We start from the raw sequence: 18885 nt of genomic DNA, 5'->3' as shown, positions 1-18885 counted from the left end.
CAAAATATCTGGAGATCTCACACTTCCTGATTTCAAAACATATTACTAAGTGACAGTAATCAAAACAATGTGGTACTGGCATAAAGACAGACATAAAACCAATAGAACAGAATAGAGCCAAGAAATAAACTCACACATACACAGTCAACTGATCTTTGACAAGGATGTCCAGAATATACAATGAAGAAAAGTCTTGAATGGTATTGGAAAATGGTATTGGGGAAACTAGATATTCACATGCAAAAGAATGAAACTAAACCTTTATCTTAAATCATACACAAAAAATCCACTCAAGACTTAATTATAACACCTGAAGCTGTAAACCTAGAAGAAAATTTAGGGGGAAAATTTCATGGCATTGGTCTTGGCAATAATTTGAGATGCTTTCTTAGAGAGAGTTTCAGTTAAGAAAATTTTTCTTAACAGTCATTAAAAAGTAATGTATAAACTTCAAGTAAAACAATTTTTGGTTGGGGCTTTCTGGTTGCCTTAGTCAACTCAGGCCGCATAACAAAGTACCCTAGACTGGTGGCCTAAACAGAAATGTTCTCACAATTCTGGATGCTGAGAAGTCCAAGACCAAGATTGGCTGATTTGGTTCCTGTTGAGGGCTCTCTTCCTACATACAGATGGCTGCTTTCTCACTCTGTCCTCACATGGTGAAGAGAGAATGCTCTTGTGTCTCTCTCTGTTCTTATAAGAACACCAGCACTATTGGATTAGGGCCTCATCCATATGGCCTCGTTTAACATATGAATTCTAGGGGAAACAAGATAGATTTAACCTCAACCTCAACCTCATGTAACCATTGGTGATTAAGGCTTCAACATATGAATTATAGGGGAAACAAGATTCAGTCCATAACACTGGCCTAATAAATACTTTTCAGAAAAATTGGCCTTTTATCATATCATTGTGTCAAAAGTGTGCTAAGCAAGTCCAGCTTATCCTCTTTCATTTATAGTCCAGACATCAAACTCATGCTATCATTTCCATCTTGAATCTCTTTATTGCCCTGTGTTACTTGGGAGTGTCACTGACAAGCCAGAAACATATGTTGTATATTTCCAGTACCACCTAATGTTTTACTCATAAGTAAGCATATACCCTTCATCTTTGTACCAGTGTGTGTGTGTGTGTGTGTGTGTGTGTGTGTGTGTATGTGTGTGTGTATGACAGGATCTCACTGTGTTACCCAGACTGGAGCGCAGTGGCATGATTTAGACTCACTGAAGCCTCAGCCTCCTGGGCTCAAGTGATTCTCCTGCCTCAGCACCACAGGCTTGTGCCATCATCGTGCCTGACTTTTTTTTTTTTTTTTTTTTTTTTTTGTAGAAACAGGGTTTCATCATGTTGCCCAGGCTGGTCTTGAACTCCTGAGCTCAAGCAATCCACTCCCCTTAGCCTCCCAAAGTTCTGGGATTACAAGTGTGAGCCACCATGCCCAGCCCTGGGCTTTTGTTTATAAAAATCATCTGTGAAAACAAAGGGTAAAACGTGTCTGTTAAATATCTTAACTCTGTGCAAATATATATATTATACAAGCTAACATGTGTAGTATAATTTAGCTGTGTAATCTTGTAAAGTAGCTAAATATCATGCCTTCTCCGGGTATCCTACTTAAATTTAATATGCAGTTTTATGATTGATTGGGAAAGATTGCCATCTGTGCATATCACTGTAAAATGCTAGTTTCTACAGTCTCATCTCCATAGATAATCAGAGAAAAGTAAATATTAAAATGGTGAATTTTGCAAATCATTATTTTGTTTACTTCAGAGAAGCTATTTGACCTGCAGGGAAATTTTCAATAGAGAAGTATCAGTGGCATTGATTAGAAACGAGCTTCATAACCTTGTGATATTGATAACAATGGGTAAAATATTTAGTATTATAAAGAGGGAAAAATGTATGTAGTCATCCAGTTACAGTTACTCTCCCCTTAAGCTCAAGGGTAAGCCTCCCCTCCCCTTGAGGGCAAAGCATCAAAATGAGTTCCAATGTGTTGGCTAACAGCATGAGCTACAATACACAGGGGAGAGTGGAGTACAGGAATATAAACATCAGTATAATTGTGACCTGAGGTCCCCAAGCTACACCCTGTGTCTGGAGACCTGAGGTCTGAAGGACTGTTTCTGCTCATTATATTCAGCTGGAGCCCCACCTAGGTTGTTGGGACCTCCAAGCCTTCCACACTTCCTGGTAGGAAATTATTCTTTCTCCTCAGTGAGTAATATCTAGAAAAAAATCAGCAGTCTCCACCCTCCCCAGATGTTATCACACTGGAATTATGGAGTTGGGTGGAGACATAAAAGCAGCTGAAACTTTTAGAGCAATCTGGCTCCAGCATCTGTCACCTCATTGATTGCAAGGGCTGATTCAGGTGATTTGGCCCTCAGTTCTCTTCCTCTTTCATCTCTCCCTTTAGGTTCTTCCCAAAGCCATGTGTTCAAATAAAGTTAAAGAGAATGACCTAGATGAAGATCTCCCTGGGAGAAAAAGAGTAATAAAAATGAAAAACAATAGCTGCTAAATAATGGGAGTGTACTAGCTGCCAGGCAATGTGGTGAATGCTTTCCAAACATTTTCTCTTCTAATCCTTATAATGGCCCTAGAGCTAGGTATTGTAATTATCTTTATCAGCAGTGAAAGCCTAGAAAATACAGCAACTTGCCCTAGAGCACCCAAATAGGAAGTGGCTGAACCAAGATTTCAAATTTAACCTGTGTTTTCTAACTCTTAAATAAACATCTTAACAGGAACATTTTTGGTAGGTCAATATTTTCTATGTGCCATTGTTCTTACTATGTAGTGAAAAAGGCAGCTTTCAGATGGTCCTGGCTTCAGTGATGGCTCCCAGGATTCCCAGCGACATTCAGCAAGATCTTCCCTGTGAGTGGCCTTCATAGATGCTTCGGTAATGGAGGCTGCTATTGATAGAGGTTCCTTAGCAGCTGCTCCACTGAGGCCCTCATTGCCCCACCCACTTTGGGCTTCATACTGGGGGTCAGTGCTAAGTATAAGGTCCTGATGGCTAGGATAGATGAGGAAAGCTATTTACTCAGCACAGTAGCAGGACTCTGGCTCAGGAGAGGGCCCATATCATGGTCAAAAATAAATTGGGAAAAGTTTAAACTAGGGAAGCAGTGTCTAGCAAAAGGCCAAAAAGATGAGAAATGACCTTCAGCAGACAAACAATTACAAGGTCAGTAGACACAAAGTATGCGAGCAGTTGAGAGCGTGGATGAAAGGTAGATTGGAACTGTATTACCATCCAGTAATTCCACTGAAATGGAACAGTGTGGAGAACTGGGAGTAATTAGTTCATTCGTCAGTTTGTCCGACTTCTCTTTGTTTCTTGTAGGGGGCTGGTTCCATAGAAAAGGATGGGTCTGTGGAGTAAATGGTCATGAGTAGTGCTAGCCACACACATTCTTTAACACTTCTGAATGCAGCAGGCCAGCTGGTCATTACTGTTACTGCCCCCTCATGGGAGACCAAATATAGCTATATCATTCCTCCTCCAAAACTGCCTTCTGGCAAAAGTTATCTCTTTTAAGAATTGTGTGCATTCTTAAATTGCATTAAGGGAAGCAAACATATGGAACAAGAAAGCACCTCACTTAGTTCCATTTGCTAAGCCCTTTTGCAGACCCACTGACCCTTCCTTAATTCCAAATGAAATCTCAAATGCTATAAAGAAACCCGCCAAATGGGTTACAGCAAAGACTTTTTTACACCCTACTGTTATGTTCAGAATTGGAAAAAGCTGGGGATTTGGCAAATTCCAAAATGTTGGGTCATATGAAAACTTTTTTTTTTGAGACAGAGTCTCGCTCTGTCGCCCAAGCTGGAGTGCAGTGACGTAATCATGGCTCACTTCAGCCTCGACCTCCTTAGTTCAGGTGATCCTCCTGCCTCCACCTCTGGGGTAGCTGGGACTACAGATAAGCACCACCACACCCAGGTAATTTTAAAATTTTTTGTAAAGATGGTGTTTCACCATGTTGCCCAGGCTGGCCCTGAACTCCTGGGCTCAAGCAGTTCACCAGCCTTGGCTTCCTAAAGTGCTGGGATTATAGGCATGAGCCACCACACCCAGCCCCATACGAAAATTTAGTCTCAGAATTAGCCTTTGCATGCGTCACCTGTAAGTTAATCAGAATGTTACTTTCAAAAGTTCCCTGCAGGTGAGGAAGCTAAAAGGTATTCTTGTATTTTTTTAAATGAAACTTCATAATAGAGGTGTAAACAGAGTCCATTCTCCCCAGCCTTAGAATCAGACAGCTTGAGTTTAAAACCCACTTATGAGCTTGAGCATACTACTGAACATAGAGTCACTTGTCTATGCCTCAGAGTCCCCATGGTCGAATGGAAAATACAGTGCCTACTTCAAAGTGTTATTGTGAGGATTAAATGAGATAATATATGCAAAGCACAGCGCCTGGAACATGGAAAGTGCTCCAGAAGTTTTATTGTTATTAACATTATTATTATTGCCACCATCATCATTAAACTTGGTAATTTTTACTCTCCCCAATCCTTTAGTTACTTTTTCAAACTTCTAGTTTTTTGCTTGGGCTCCATCTAATTGGCTGTGAGTCAAAAGAGAATTCACCACATCCAAGTGTTTTCTAAAGAATGTCTTTGGAAAATTCACAACTGATCATTTTGATACCAGCATCTAAGGTTAGGGCTACCTTATCCTTCATCACCTTCTTGTTTTATTCATAACACCACGATGTGGACTATTGATAAAATTATGTTTCAAAGATAACTAGCTTATTTGAAGCCATCTATAATTTCAGCCCAAACTGACTAATTAGGCTAACTTTCAGAAAGTTAAGTAAGTGTCTAATTCTCAGTTAACTTACTACCTACTGAGTAAAAATGTGCTGCCTTTTAAAATCCACAACTAACCTCCCTACTCAAGGCAAACCCCCTAGTTCTAATATTTGAAGTATTTAATGAACAAGCCTTTTTGGGGGTCCTCTTGTAGTTAAAACATTTATTTTTCTCCTTTTTTTTTTTAACTCTGTTTTTTGTCTTTCTTTTTTTTTTTTTTTTTTTTTTTTTGAGACAGAGTCATGCTCTGTCGCCTAGATTGGAGTGCAGTGACACGATCAGTCACTGTAACCTTGAACTCCTGGTCTGAAGCGATCCTCCCACGTGTGCCTCTAAAGTGTCGGGATTACAGGCATGAGCTACTGTGCTCAGCCTCTACTCTGTTTTCTACCTTTTATTTGTTGCAAAAGCAACATGTTTATTTTAACAAATACTGGTCTTCCTCATCTTACTCCCCTGAGATTTCAATGTTAAAAGTTGATTTGTGTGTTTCCACGTAAGTCTTTATAACAAGCTTCTGCTGACACTCCTTGGCCCAGCTTTCCATAAACACATCCATCCCTACCTATTAGGTTGAACTGTACAAAATTGCCATTTTTATAGGTCCCCACTATTCTTTAATACCAAGCCTCAAATTTAGCCAGACACTAAATGTCCTGTTTTATATACACGCCTTATTCATTCCTTCTTGGTTTTGTTTTTGTGGCTTCACTTTTGCTGGATGGCCTCCACCCCCAACCCCAGCTCTACTCTGGCTGGACATTTTTTAACTCTCCTTCAAAGGTGTACATCCTGCAACTTCTTAAATTCCCTTTACATTCATTGTCTACATCACATAGTCTGATTGCCTATATAATACAATTTCGTGTTTTAGTATTTATATGCTATTTAATACAGATGCCACCTGTTTTGCTGCTTTTATTTTCTCTGGTTGCTTGATGTTCTATTACCTTAACTAGACTTTAGTGCTTTCTAGAAAAGGACAATGTGTAGTATATCTGTACTTATTCAAGTGCTGATCTAAGGACATAGGATGTAATGTAAAAGTTTATTCAATGACTATTTCAAAATACAAAGTCTCTCTTTGTATAAAGTCATTCACTAATACTGACATTGGCTGATACTTCAGACTGGAGATTCTCGGTAATATTACTTTTTCTTGATAATTAATTTTGATTATAAGAGGATTTAATATCATGGAAATAAATTATGCAAATGAACTCAGACCCTAGGTTCACTTCCCAGAACAAACCGTATTCTGAGAATACTTGTGGTGCCAAAATTTAGAGTGAAACCCCAGACTATTAATGATGCTCAAGTTACTTTACTCCAACACAATAAGTACTCAGTGATTTGTTACGGAAATTCAATTAAGTCTTCTCAAGTATTTTTTTTCTTTTCTTTTTTTTTTTTAATTATACTTTAAGTTTTAGGGTACATGTGCACATTGTGCAGGTTAGATACATATGTATACATGTGCCATGCTGGTGCACTGCACCCACTAACTCGTCATCTAGCATTAGGTATATCTCCCAGTGCTATCCCTCCCCCCTCCCCCCACCCCACAACAGTCCCCAGAGTGTGATATTCCCCTTCCTGTGTCCATGTGATCTCATTGTTCAATTCCCACCTATGAGTGAGAATATGCGGTGTTTGGTTTTTTGTTCTTGCGATAGTTTACTGAGAATGATGATTTCCAATTTCATCCATGTCCCTACAAAGGACATGAACTCATCATTTAAGAAAAAGTCCAATAAAATATCAGTCACTATTTTTAGATCTTCATTCTCAATGTTTGTAAAGCTAATACTAATATTAGATTAATGTAATTTTATCAATATTGATAATTACTTAGTATACATTGTGAACTTTGTTTTTTGGATGTCATTTAAAGGGTTATTTTCATGAGTTCCTAAGAAATAATTTAGGCCTTTAAGGTTATTTAACCCTTCAGTAGAAAATAGTTTCCTTGTTTAAGAAAATGATCTCCATCTAGTGGACAAATTTTTATATTACAGTATACAAAGAAAAATATTAAAGCCCCTAGAATATCTCATATCAAGCACTTCCTGACCTATTAATAAATGTTTTGGTTTTAGTGCTAATATTATGGCTTAAAAGTTGTAAGATTTAAAAATATCATAACTATCTAAATGACTTAAGGTATTTAGCAATATTTGTTTCAAAACTTATAGTGGAGTGTTAAGACTTGCTTGATTTAATTGGAAAAATTATAATTAAAGAAAAAATTACTGATTTATACAAATTTGGTGTTTACTCAGTTGAACTGAAAAAAACTAAACCAAAACTCACACTTCTGTATCTCTTACATTTCTGTTCATGCACAGGAAGGAGGGGGTATTTTCTTTTTTAAAGTGTAGCAATAAGAATATCTTGATATTAAAGGGAAATAAACATAAACATTTCTACAGGCATTCACATTACTAGGTCCTCCTCATGCTGAAAAGCTGCCATGACTATCTTCTTAGAAGAGAAATCTACTTTGCCAAACCCCCACTATTTAGAAGTTTTTAATGTCTTCCAGTTGTGTACTAAATACCTTCAAAAACCTTCTTAAATACTACTCTTCATGAAAACTTCTCAGATATCCCAGCCTGAGTTAGTCATTCATCCTTTATTTTTGTATCTTAATGCACTCATATTAAGTGCTTAATAAATGCCTATTTAAGCATATCCAAGGAGAGTTTGCCAAAGATCCCTAATGTATGTCTATTGAATGATTAGAGACCATCCTCCCCTTCCAGCCTTCCTGGGAATTGACAAGGTTTCACATACATATGTGCCTATCCTATTCTGGTGAAACAGATGTCCCCTGTTTGGGTGCCACATATATTTGTGGTTTATATAATCATGCAGTAGAGCTGGAAGGACTTTAGGAACAATCGATGATTCAATGCAGTTAGCTCAGTGACTGGTCAATTAACTTTTCTAGGACCTGGTATCCTCGTCTGTAAAGTGAGTCTGTTCGACTTGACAATCTCTCATTGTCCTTCCTGAACCAAATAAATATATCTATAAAGAGACACAATTCTAAGAAAATTTTAAGTTGGAAAAACATATTTACAGCTGCTCAAGATAATGAGTTTTCCCTCTTCTGTTTATTTGATGGATTATTTCGGAGCCACTGTTATTTGATCACAGATTCAAAAGTGATCCATGAAACATCTTCCAATCTTAGAGTCATAACTCTATTTATTAATGACTCCGATAAAGAAAATAAAGGAATGTTTTAAAATGAGCTAGTTAATAGTTTGAATAAAGATTCTAATGGGGAAAATATTAATGACAGCAAAACTTGAATTCACATGTTTATTTATTCTTTCAACAAGTTTTTCTTTAAAACCACACACCTGCTGGGCTATCATAAGCTATCACCCTCCTCTCCTAAGAACACATGAAAGTTGACTTTATTTTAATACTGGTTGATGTTTCACTAGAAAGGTTCTTTGTGGAAAGTTTATCTAGATTATAAGGACTATGACGTTAAGAACTGTGTGTGTAGATTTTTTCCCAGCTCTAAAATATGTATTGCTGAGCACAGTGCCTTTTATTCATTTAATCATTTACTCAAGACACTTGGGCACAGTTTTCAATGTGCCAAGAATACGCTGAGTCTCCATTTGTAGAGAGCTCACAATCTAGGAATGGAGACCGGGTGAAAAACATTTTCAATTCATTGTAAATTCTGTCATTAGGGAGTGGGAAAGTGTCTTGGGAGCGTAGAGAAAGGGCCTTTCATAAAGCTCTGATGTACCAGGGTAGCCTTTCAGGTGCAGGCTAAGTCTCAAGGATGAGTGACAGTTAGGCAGGGGAAAGGGGATTTGATTATTTAGGGGAGCAGGAGGTGAGGTGGTGATGGCCTGTGAGAAGGAGATAGTGCCTCAATATGAGTTGAGCAAGAAGTACCCAATAGCTGAGGATGGCAAGTTGAGGCTGGGGGCAACTAATTGCAATTGAGAGCAGATGGTTAGACTGGCAGTCTGGCAAAGAAATTTTGACTTCATCCTGAGAGCAATGGTAAGTTACTGAAGGGTTTTAAACTGAAGAATGACACTGGAAAATGGATTCAAGACACTAATATAAAGGTTGTTATAATAATATAGGTGAAATTTGATGGAGACCTGAATTTAAAATATTGGTAGTAGGGATGGAAGGAAGTGGGTACAATAGAAATTAATGCTTGGATGGATGTTATAGGGTAGGAGTGTGGAGGGAGAAGCCCAGGTTTGGGAGAACAGCATTAGGCACAAAATGGGTATTTGTTGAATCGAATTCAAATATTTGATGAATTACTGTGTATTTGTTATTTTCCGAAAGGAATTTTGTACTTAGAAGATTATGTTTTGCAGAGTGTTTCCCTTTTAACTGAAGTAGAGTTTGGAAAAACCTGTATCTTGTATCTGGTCAGTTAACAACAGTATCCAGGAGAACAAGAATGTGAAGTCAATGTGTTTTTCTTTTATGTATTTCAATATTATCATATTTTTATGGCAGAAATTAGCTGTAATTTTCATTCCTGCTAATTCCACTGTCAGTTCCTCAGCTGACGCTAAATGCTTTTTGAAAATATGAACATGTGAATGTTCACAGCAACATAATTCCTTCTCCTTCCTTTACAGTTTTGATGTGGACAATGGCACATCTGCGGGACGGAGTCCCTTGGATCCCATGACCAGCCCAGGATCCGGGCTAATTCTCCAAGCAAATTTTGTCCACAGTCAACGACGGGAGTCCTTCCTGTATCGATCCGACAGCGATTATGACCTCTCTCCAAAGTCTATGTCCCGGAACTCCTCCATTGCCAGTGATATGTAAGTACAAGGGCAGGCAAAGAGAGAGAAAACCGAGTAAATTTATATCTAGAGCTGATGACATAATAAAACTAATGACTTTTGTTCAACTGTATCACTCTCCTCCAATGTAGAAAGAATATGAATAAAATTATACAAGCTAGAAATGAATGGTAGATTTAACCTGAGTGCACTGTCACTCTTGATTAACACACACACACACACACACACACACACACACACACGCATGTATTTATTTTCCCAGAAAATACTTTATAGGAAAACTGAGAATTAAATTTTTAATGGAAACTAACACTTAAATCATTAGCTTATATTTATGTAGAGCCTGAGTTTTAGCTACCTAACTACATGGATATTTTCTAATATTTTGAAAAGCTTTCAACTCCATTGAAAAGTCCTGTGATAATAGACTGTATAGCATTTTGAATATATTTCAATTAATGTATGTACAGATGTTAGCACTGGTTTGCCAGATCATTTAAGAAATCTTTGTGGGACTTTGCCAAAATTAAACCAACTTTTAAGGATCATGAGAGGCAAGCACAGAAAACATTAGACAGACTTGAATATCATTTAAGATATAGTACAGCTTGAAAAACAATGAAAACTGACAAGCAGGTTTGCAGATCCTGTACCATCACTAGCTCATTTTCTCAGTGCATTTCATTCTTGTGGTAGTGTGCATGTTTTTCTACATAGGTCTTTATTCTCACTCAATACCTATACTATCATTCGTGGCACATCTGCCTCTGTATAGAATCGATCTTCATCTTTCTCTCTTGGTCTATACATTTGTCCAATAACATTCACCATCTTTTCATGACACCCATCTCAAAAACTCATAACAGGCTGCAATTTATCTTATAAGAATTAGTCTGTATGGAACCCCTGAGTGTCTAGTGTTATTCTTGCCATTCTAACAGAGCATCAGTTGTATTGCAATAGGTCTACATGGGGTTCTAGAAATGAAATTATATTTCACTCATTTTTACAAACTATGGTTGCTATTTTAGCAGTTGTATTATTGACGTCTACCCTTCTTCATCTCTAAACAACTTTCTATTCCTAGTGGCCCTATTTTTACATTATTTTTATCTCACTTCCTTAGATTTGAAATTCATGACACTTACTTATTCATTCACACATAATGAGAATGCTTCTTGAGCAAATATGGTGTATTTAAAGCTCTGAATCTGTGGAGCAGTGAGGTCTGGCATTTTAGACCATTGTAATAAAATATGGTGAGCACAATCCTTGAGGCATTTATCATGTACTGCAGGAACAGAGAGAGGAGATGGAGAGTTTTCCACCCAAGGGAAAGATACAGAAAATACCGGGCTAAGGGAACAACATTTACTAAATGTGAGGCATGGAAAATTATGGCTGAACTAAGGAATGACAATCTGCTTGATGTGAATAGCGAAACCTGGCAAGAGAGAAGAAAATTTCAAATACAGTCTATGGGACCTGAGAGCCACAGAGGTTTTTAGCTGAGTTTTGGCATGATCATATTCTTGTTTTTATTGCATCTTGATTACTCTATTGTTGAATGATTGCATAGCGAAGTCACTACAGGGAAGTATTTCATGTCGAAATTCACAGAAGTAAGGCAGGCTAAATATGATGAAGACCTAAGTCAAGGGAGTGATGGCAGTGGAGCAAAGAGCTGGTTTAGATGCAAGAGGCTTATAGAATGGTTGTGTGTGTGTGTGTGTGTGTGTGTGTGTGTGTGTGTGTGTGTGTGAAGTATGTATGTATGTTGGGGGACAGCCAGTGGAGAAGGAGAATCAAAGAGAGTGCTGATTTTTGTCCATGAATGAGTACGTACATGGTGATGTACGTACATGGTGATGAGGAACAAAGGGCAGAGAGTAGAAAACATGACAGATAACAGGTGATGAATTGGTTTGTACATGATAAGGCTAGGGGAAACAAGACAACAGTTAAAGTACTGGGACAGCAAACAGAAATAACAGTCCAGAGGACCAGGAGAAATAGAACAGTTACCTTCTATAATTACTAGGTTTTTGAATGACAGTTGAGTGGTGCGTTGTATTCAGGTAATAGCATTAGGAGCCCCTGGGTTAAGGAGTGAATTGAAAGTGGAAATGTGAGCAAATGCAGGCATCTCTTTAAAAGGCTGATGGGTGGAGTAGGAAGAAAGAACTAAGGCTGCCTGACAGAGAATTAGGTTCAAGCGGAATTTTTTTGAATTCAGGTTACTTGAGCTGAGGGAAGGCTCCAGGAGATAGAAAGAGACTAAAAATTCAAGGGGAAAGAGGGTTTAAAGATGGAGCTGTAGTTGCTGACAAAAACATGATCATGAGCCAAAGTAAGGAGGCTATCCTTGGAAAAGTAGTAAATACCAGAACTGTATTCTTTAGGAAGGACAAAGAAGACCTGCCTTGGCAACATAGTGAGACCTTGTCCTTACTAAAAATCCAAAAAAATAGCTGGGCATGGTGGCACATGCCTTTAGTCCCAGCTACTCTGGAGAGGTAGGAGGATTGGTTGAGCCTGGGAGTTCAGGGTTGCAGTGAGCTACGATCATGCCACTGCAGTCCAGCCTGGGTGACAGAGGAAGACAAGACTGTGTCTGGAAAAAAAGAAAAAAAGAAGAAGGAGGAGAAGGAGAAGAATAAGAGAGAAGAGAAGAAGGAGAAGGAGAAGAAGAGTAAAAGAAGGGAAATGTAAATTTAGAGATGGAGGAGTAAAATGTTAAGAGATATTAGCCATGAGTTCTCTAAACATTTTACTCCTCCATCTCCAGATGAATGAATGTAAAAGTAGAAGGTACAGCCATCAATAGCCAGAGGAGAGAGGGATGGGGCAGCTTGAGAAGAAAGGGAAAGGCTTAAAAAAGCCACTATGCAGATCAAAAAAGGGAACAGGGTAAAGGTGAGTAGAATACTGACCAGCCCCATAGATAACAATAAACAATGTTAAATAGGCGAATGACAGAATTGAAAGTCATCTAATGCAACTTCATCAAAGGTGAGTCAGGCTTGGTATTGACAAAAGAAAGAGGAAAACTCACAGTGAGTTAGTGGAGTCCATTTATGTAGTTATGTGTTCTACCTTTTTAAATTGTAGTAAACTGAGTTTGGGATAGATTGTTTCTTTCATACATTCTACTCCAGTTAGTAAATATTAAATATATACATATATTTTATGAAAAGCTTATAGCATTTCATATTTAAATATGAAATGCTTTTATTTCAAAATCAAACTTGCAAGGATACCTCATTTTGCTGTGTGCCTCAAGAGTTCTTTATCTGATCAGACTCAGGTAGGAATGATGAGTTTAATCAGACCATGAGTCAACACTATATTTTGCTGAAAAGTAATGTGTTGATATGTTTAGCTTTCCATTCTCCTTGGATATTTACATTGGAGCAGTAAGATATTCCTTTGATACCAACTCCTAGAAAGCATTCTTTCTACCAAGGAGATTAAGTTTCTGTGGAAGGAAAAGGAAATAGAATAAATAATAACTATTTCAACATTTAATCTGACACGACACATATCTTCCACCATAAAGGACTGTGCCTTCTCTTAATTTGAATTCTCATATGGCCATGTGTAAACTTTAATTTTCTCACCTTACCTAGTTCACAATAATGCTATGAAGACTGTCTGATGTGTATAATTCAACTGCGCTTTATAGAGAATGATGTTATATATTTAATTACTTGATGATTTCTTATTAATAGTTCTAGTTAAGCTTTCCTATTGAGAAATTTTCTTAGAAATTTCAAATACAAACAGTACCTAATGAGGATAGGTACCTAATGAAGGGTATTTAAAATGAAGGTTTGTGGTTATCTATTTAATTGAACTGTTTTGGAAAACCTTTAAATACTCTTTAAGTTTAAATATAACTATTTACTCTATTGGGAAAGTGAGAAGAAGGAAGATAATCCCTTCCTAGTAGATAGGATATCGTCATCTTATCCTCTATAAATAGAAACCAATGAAATAGCTGAAGAACAAAACAGATAAAGATGGTAGTAATAATAATCATAACATACATGGTGTGTGTATATCATCAACTTTCCCAAGTATTTTCACACCAGCTATCTTATTTGATATACTCACAGTCCTTTTGATAGGGACATTGTTATGCCATTTTACAGGTTAGAAAGCCAAAGTCCAATGAGCTTAATCTTTTGAAAAAAAAGCAAGCATTTTGATTATTTCTAGGAGCACATAATTTGATAATGCCATTGTAAACAAAGTACTTTATACTACTACAGCAAAAACTGCTGAGAAACAGAAGTAATTGTTGACCAAATTCATTAAACCAATGAAATACATAGCAGTATCAAAATTTGATTAAGAATAAAATAAAAGCTCAAGGAGGTACAAAGTAAATATGCAGCCAACTCTTAGAGAATGTATACAAGTATATAGCACTAGGCTAAATTCAGAATCTAAAAAATTAGCTCATATAAGGCAGAAGAGAAGTTCCTGACCACTTCTGCTCAGAGACCGTCACACAATTTGTTAAATATAGATGATGCAGTAGCAACTTAATTCTTAAGAAAAGTAAGAAAAAGAAAAATGTTAAGTATTAGCATGAGTCTAGTAAATAAATACATGAAAATAAACTTGCATTACCATTAATAGTAAAAATTTTTTATAACAGTAGAAACAACTAGATAACAAAAGGCTGGTTGCCCAAGTGGTGTCATGAAGTAACATGAAGAAAATTACAGCGTAAATAGACAATATTTTTGTCATCTTAATATTTCAGCATCTGAATAACAATCACTTCTGTGTTTTCACATCATCCAGTAATATAGTATCTGTATTTGGAAACACATAAAGTTATGATACATTGCAAAGATTAAGAGGAGAATTAGCAATGACAAGATAAGTAGAATTAAGTCACAAAACTATGAATTTATTAAGTATAAGTTACCTGTCAAACTACTTAAGTTTTAAGAAATACTCAATTCACCTGGATAACTAATCCTCTATTCCCCATCCTCTGTTAAATTAACACCAACACATAGAATGCAAAGATGATCCAATCGGCTCTTCACTCACATTCATATACATTGCTTCTACACACAGAATATGGGGTGGGGTGAATGCATTCAGAGGGCCAGTGACGAGGAAGTGAGTAGATTTGATATACCATAAAAAGCTGGGGCATATTTGGGAATCTAGCTAAGTTATCCCCAGGCACTATACAGATATCTCAGACCTCACTGATCAGGCCTTCGGGGTGCCCCATTGGGGCATTTTCTCAGCTAGTAGATAATACTCTCCCTACCTCCCATGTCAAACTACTGTCCTTTCTTTAGCAATTAACAAGTCCCTCACCACTTCTTGGGCCTCTAATGTGTGTTTTCAGTCACAGCCACTCCTCTCTACTACTTTTGCCTGCTAAGTATAAGAGTAGTATTGCTTCCAGTCCTGAGTTTGAAAAAGGAAGAAGAATTCCCTTTATGTCAATTTGTATCTTTTATTCCAGATTATTAATCTTCCCTGGTCTCACTAGGAAGAATATAAATAAAAAGACACGTTGCATTACAAAGGTTCTAATTCTCACTGGATCTACATGAAAAGTTTGTAGTCATCTCTTACCTAGATTGCAAGATAATATTACACTAATGAACATTTCAAAAGCATATCAATTTGTTATCTTGAAAGCTTTCTTCCATTAACCACAGAAAGAAAGCTACCATGGCCAAATCATCTCTTCCCCAGTTCTGGGTTTTTCCCAGCTGGGGAGGTATCCTCACCCCTCACCCTGTGGTGTAGGAGTGATGGGACTAGGGCCAGAGTTCTCAAAATGTGTCCTGAGGCAACAGAGGGAATGTACATGGGTGCAAGCGTTATTTTAAATGTTCAAGAAAAACACGAAAACATCTGTCAACCACCTGGAAAACTAATAGCTTGGAATAGTTCCCAGTTTCCAATTAAGACCATGATATTCCTTTCTGTGACACCATATCTTTGCAAAATTGGGTTTTCAGCAGTTGCTGGATAAAAATGAAGTGCTGAGCAGAAATCAATGTGCAACAAAAAATAAGGGAGGCAATGTCCAATCTCATTCCAAAATGAGAAATTGACATAGTGCTCAGTGGGTGCTAAATTGTTAGAACAAAACCTTATTAAGTTATTTGGACTTAACTATTTAATAATTGGAACTATTATTTATTTTGGCCAATGTGTTGCTGTTATTAAAAAATTGAGATATTAAGGGCACCATGTACTGAGAAAGTCTGAAAATATTTGGATTAGTTGTTTATTCATATCTGAAGAATTAGAGCTAAATCAGGCTAGGCATGGTGGCTCACATCTGTAATCCTGGCAATTTGGGAGGCCAAGGCAGGCAGATGGCTTGAGCTGAGGAGTTTGAGACCAACTTGGGCAACATGGTGAAACCCTGTCTCTACAAAAAATACAAAAATTTGCTGGGCATGGTGGTGGGCGCCTGTAGTCTCAGCTACTTGGGAGGCTGAAGCAGGAGGATCACTTGAACCCAGGATGTTGAGGTTGTAGTGAGCCACGATTGAGCCACTGCACTCCAGCCTGGATGACAGAGTGAGACCCTGCCTCAAGACAAAAAAAAATGATTAAAGATAAATCAGATCTCTATGTGAGACTATTTGAGAGAATTTTGTTAGGAGTTAAAAAAATAACAGTTTCCAAGCTGTGAAGTATCTGATGTGCTCTAGAGTAGAGAATTTATCTTTTTCTTAATTCTGTTAGGATCCCAGGTAGCCAAAATCTTTTTTTATAAAATGTGATATTATTTTGGTAATGACCTAGATAGACCAGGCTTTTTCTTCCATTGCTGTGTGCTGGCCACTGTTACTAGTATTATTCGGAGTGTTGATGCAGGCATTAATACTAGCTATTAAATCTCAAGAAGTTTATTGGCAAAATATGCTAAGGTCATCTGCTACTAGAATACCTTTTTACTATCTTTTTGTTTAAAAATTCTGCTTTATTTGGTGCCATTTATTCAATCACTTAAGTCATTTTATTTCTGATTTAAAAAAATGGGAGTTTCATGAATTGTAAAATAAGTCTTATAAATTAGCTAAACAAGTTTCTTCAATCCTTGAACTGGGGGATTTAAAATATTAGCTGAATAGGCATTTTATATTCCTAATCTCATACTTTCAAAAAAATCATAAAAATGAAATCCTGATGTTTAGACATTTTAAATGGTAATGTTTTTAATGCCACAGTATAAAAATAAAGCATTGATTTTAATGCACTGCTACAGTGAGATGGTGCCAGCACCTCTAAGTATCATTGCCAGTGCTCTAACCTTTAAAATAACGAATTAATTGAGTTATATGTAGTAATATATCTTGGCTATTACTGCCAAAGTAATAGATATATACTGAAGTCTTAGGAGAGATAGAGGGATAAATGTTAGTTATAAAAAGTTGTTAAAGCAGAGGGAAAAAGAAGTGAAAACTGACCAAACATATACGTAATTCATTGTTTCTATGACAAGCCTGCTGCAATTCGAACTCTAGGACTTTGTGCTAATATTTAGCATACCATTTTATTTTCTAGATTTCCTTTATACTCACTATGTTCCTCAGTATTTGCACTCACTTCTTTTGTTTGTTTGTTTTGAGATAGAGTCTCACTCTGTTGCGCAGGTTGGAGTGCAGTGGCACAATCTCAGCTCACTGCATCCTCCGCCTCCCAGGTTCAAGCGATTCTCCTGCCTCAGCCTCCTGAGTAGCTGGGATTACAGGTACCTGCCACCGTGCCTGGCTGATTGTGTTTTTTTTTTTACTTTTAGTAGAGATGGGGTTTCACCATGTTGACCAGGCTGGGCTCGAACTCCTGACCTCAAGTGATCCTCCCACCTTGGCCTCCCAAAGTGCTGGGATTACAGACTGAACTCACTTTTAAATCTTTTAAATGTGAAAAAAAAAACTCTAAAAATCATGTGAGTTTTTCTCACTCCTGTATAAAAGAGAAAGAGTGTGAAGGTGAATTATTTAAACTTATAAATAATGATTATATAATTATGCTTATACATCAGATTTAATACATTTCAAAGGATAATATCTACTTTCTTTAAAAAAAAATGCAGGGAGAAGTGGTAGTTTAATAACAAGAGCAATTATTCCACAATCCTATGAGACACTGAATTCCTGCCAGAAGAAAGTAAACTCAGAATTGGCCTCAGTCAAGGAAGATTAGCCTATTTTTCAGTGCATACCAAAAGAATGCAATCTCTAAGAGCACATTATGTGTGAAATAAACTAAAATAAGGAAAGTTTGAAGAACATTTTGAAAGAAAAAAACTAGTCCAGTAACCTGGATAGTGCTCTCAATGAAACACGGCCCCTAGATGAAGGACCCATAGTTGAAAATTACTGATTCTTCCTGCCTCTTGAAATTCCAAGAGGCAAATGGCCATTACAGGAGAGATATTGGTTCACCCAGTTGTGGATATTGTACCTAGAGGTACACTAGTGTACTCTCACTTTATCTCAACCCTCTTCCCTCTGTATATTAAAGAAGACTAAAATCAAAACCATGCTCCAGTGTATTGTAAAATAGAAATATTTTGAACTTTAATTTTTTTTTCTTTTCTTTTGAGACAGAGTCTCACTCTATTATTGCCCAGGCTGGAGTGCAGCAGTGTAATCACAGCTCACTGCAGCCTTGAGCTCTTGGGCTCAAGTGATTCTCCCACCTCAGTCTCCCTAGTAGCCCAAACACAGGGGTATGCTACCACACCCGGCTAATTTTTTTTAATTTTTAGCAGAAATGAGGTCTTGCTATGTTGCCCAGGTTGGTCTCGAATTCCTGAGCTCAAGCAATACTCCTGCTTTGGCTTCCCAAAGTGCTGAAATTACAGGCAAGAGCCACTATGCACAGCCTGAACTTTAAGTCTTGACGGTGGGGCATATGGTGGCAGGCTGGGAAGAAGAAGAAAGTTGACTTCTATTGGAGATGACCAATACGTGTTTTCCACCACATTCTAAATAAAGGTGTGTATTAATTGATGTGCATTTTTGAATGAGTATCACTGTTTTACTCGTTTGGAAAATAACAGTAGCACCTACTCCATGCCAGGGTATCATTTGAAGACACCATAGATCCATGAAAGTAAGACAAAAAAATTGTTTGGAGCATGCATTCTTGTCTTTATTTAATTTTTAAAAATTCTTGATACAAAAGGAGATGTTTCCAGCCAACACTGAGATTCCCA

At 37.3% G+C, this 18885-nt stretch overlaps 1 protein-coding gene across 30 annotated transcripts in view; it reads left to right on the top strand.

Annotated features, from left to right (window-relative positions):
* Window positions 1-18885, top strand: part of PDE4D (phosphodiesterase 4D) — a 1553091-nt gene that overhangs the window by 1296675 nt on the left and 237531 nt on the right. For 28 of the 30 annotated variants that reach the window (XM_024446112.2, XM_024446110.2, NM_001364599.1 and 25 more), the window contains one exon: window positions 9486-9677. In XM_024446112.2, coding sequence (XP_024301880.1) covers window positions 9486-9677 — 192 coding nt within the window. Of the gene's footprint in view, window positions 1-5077; window positions 8884-9485; window positions 12272-18885 lie in introns of those variants that run through there. The other 2 variants (XM_047417299.1, NM_001364601.1) reach the window with 2 other exon arrangements.

This window comes from Homo sapiens, chromosome 5 (genome assembly GCF_000001405.40).
Source record: "Homo sapiens chromosome 5, GRCh38.p14 Primary Assembly".
Classification (NCBI taxonomy): Eukaryota; Metazoa; Chordata; class Mammalia; order Primates; family Hominidae; genus Homo; species Homo sapiens.
Note: the sequence above shows the minus strand (reverse complement) of the source record. Positions and strands in the feature narration are given on the sequence as shown.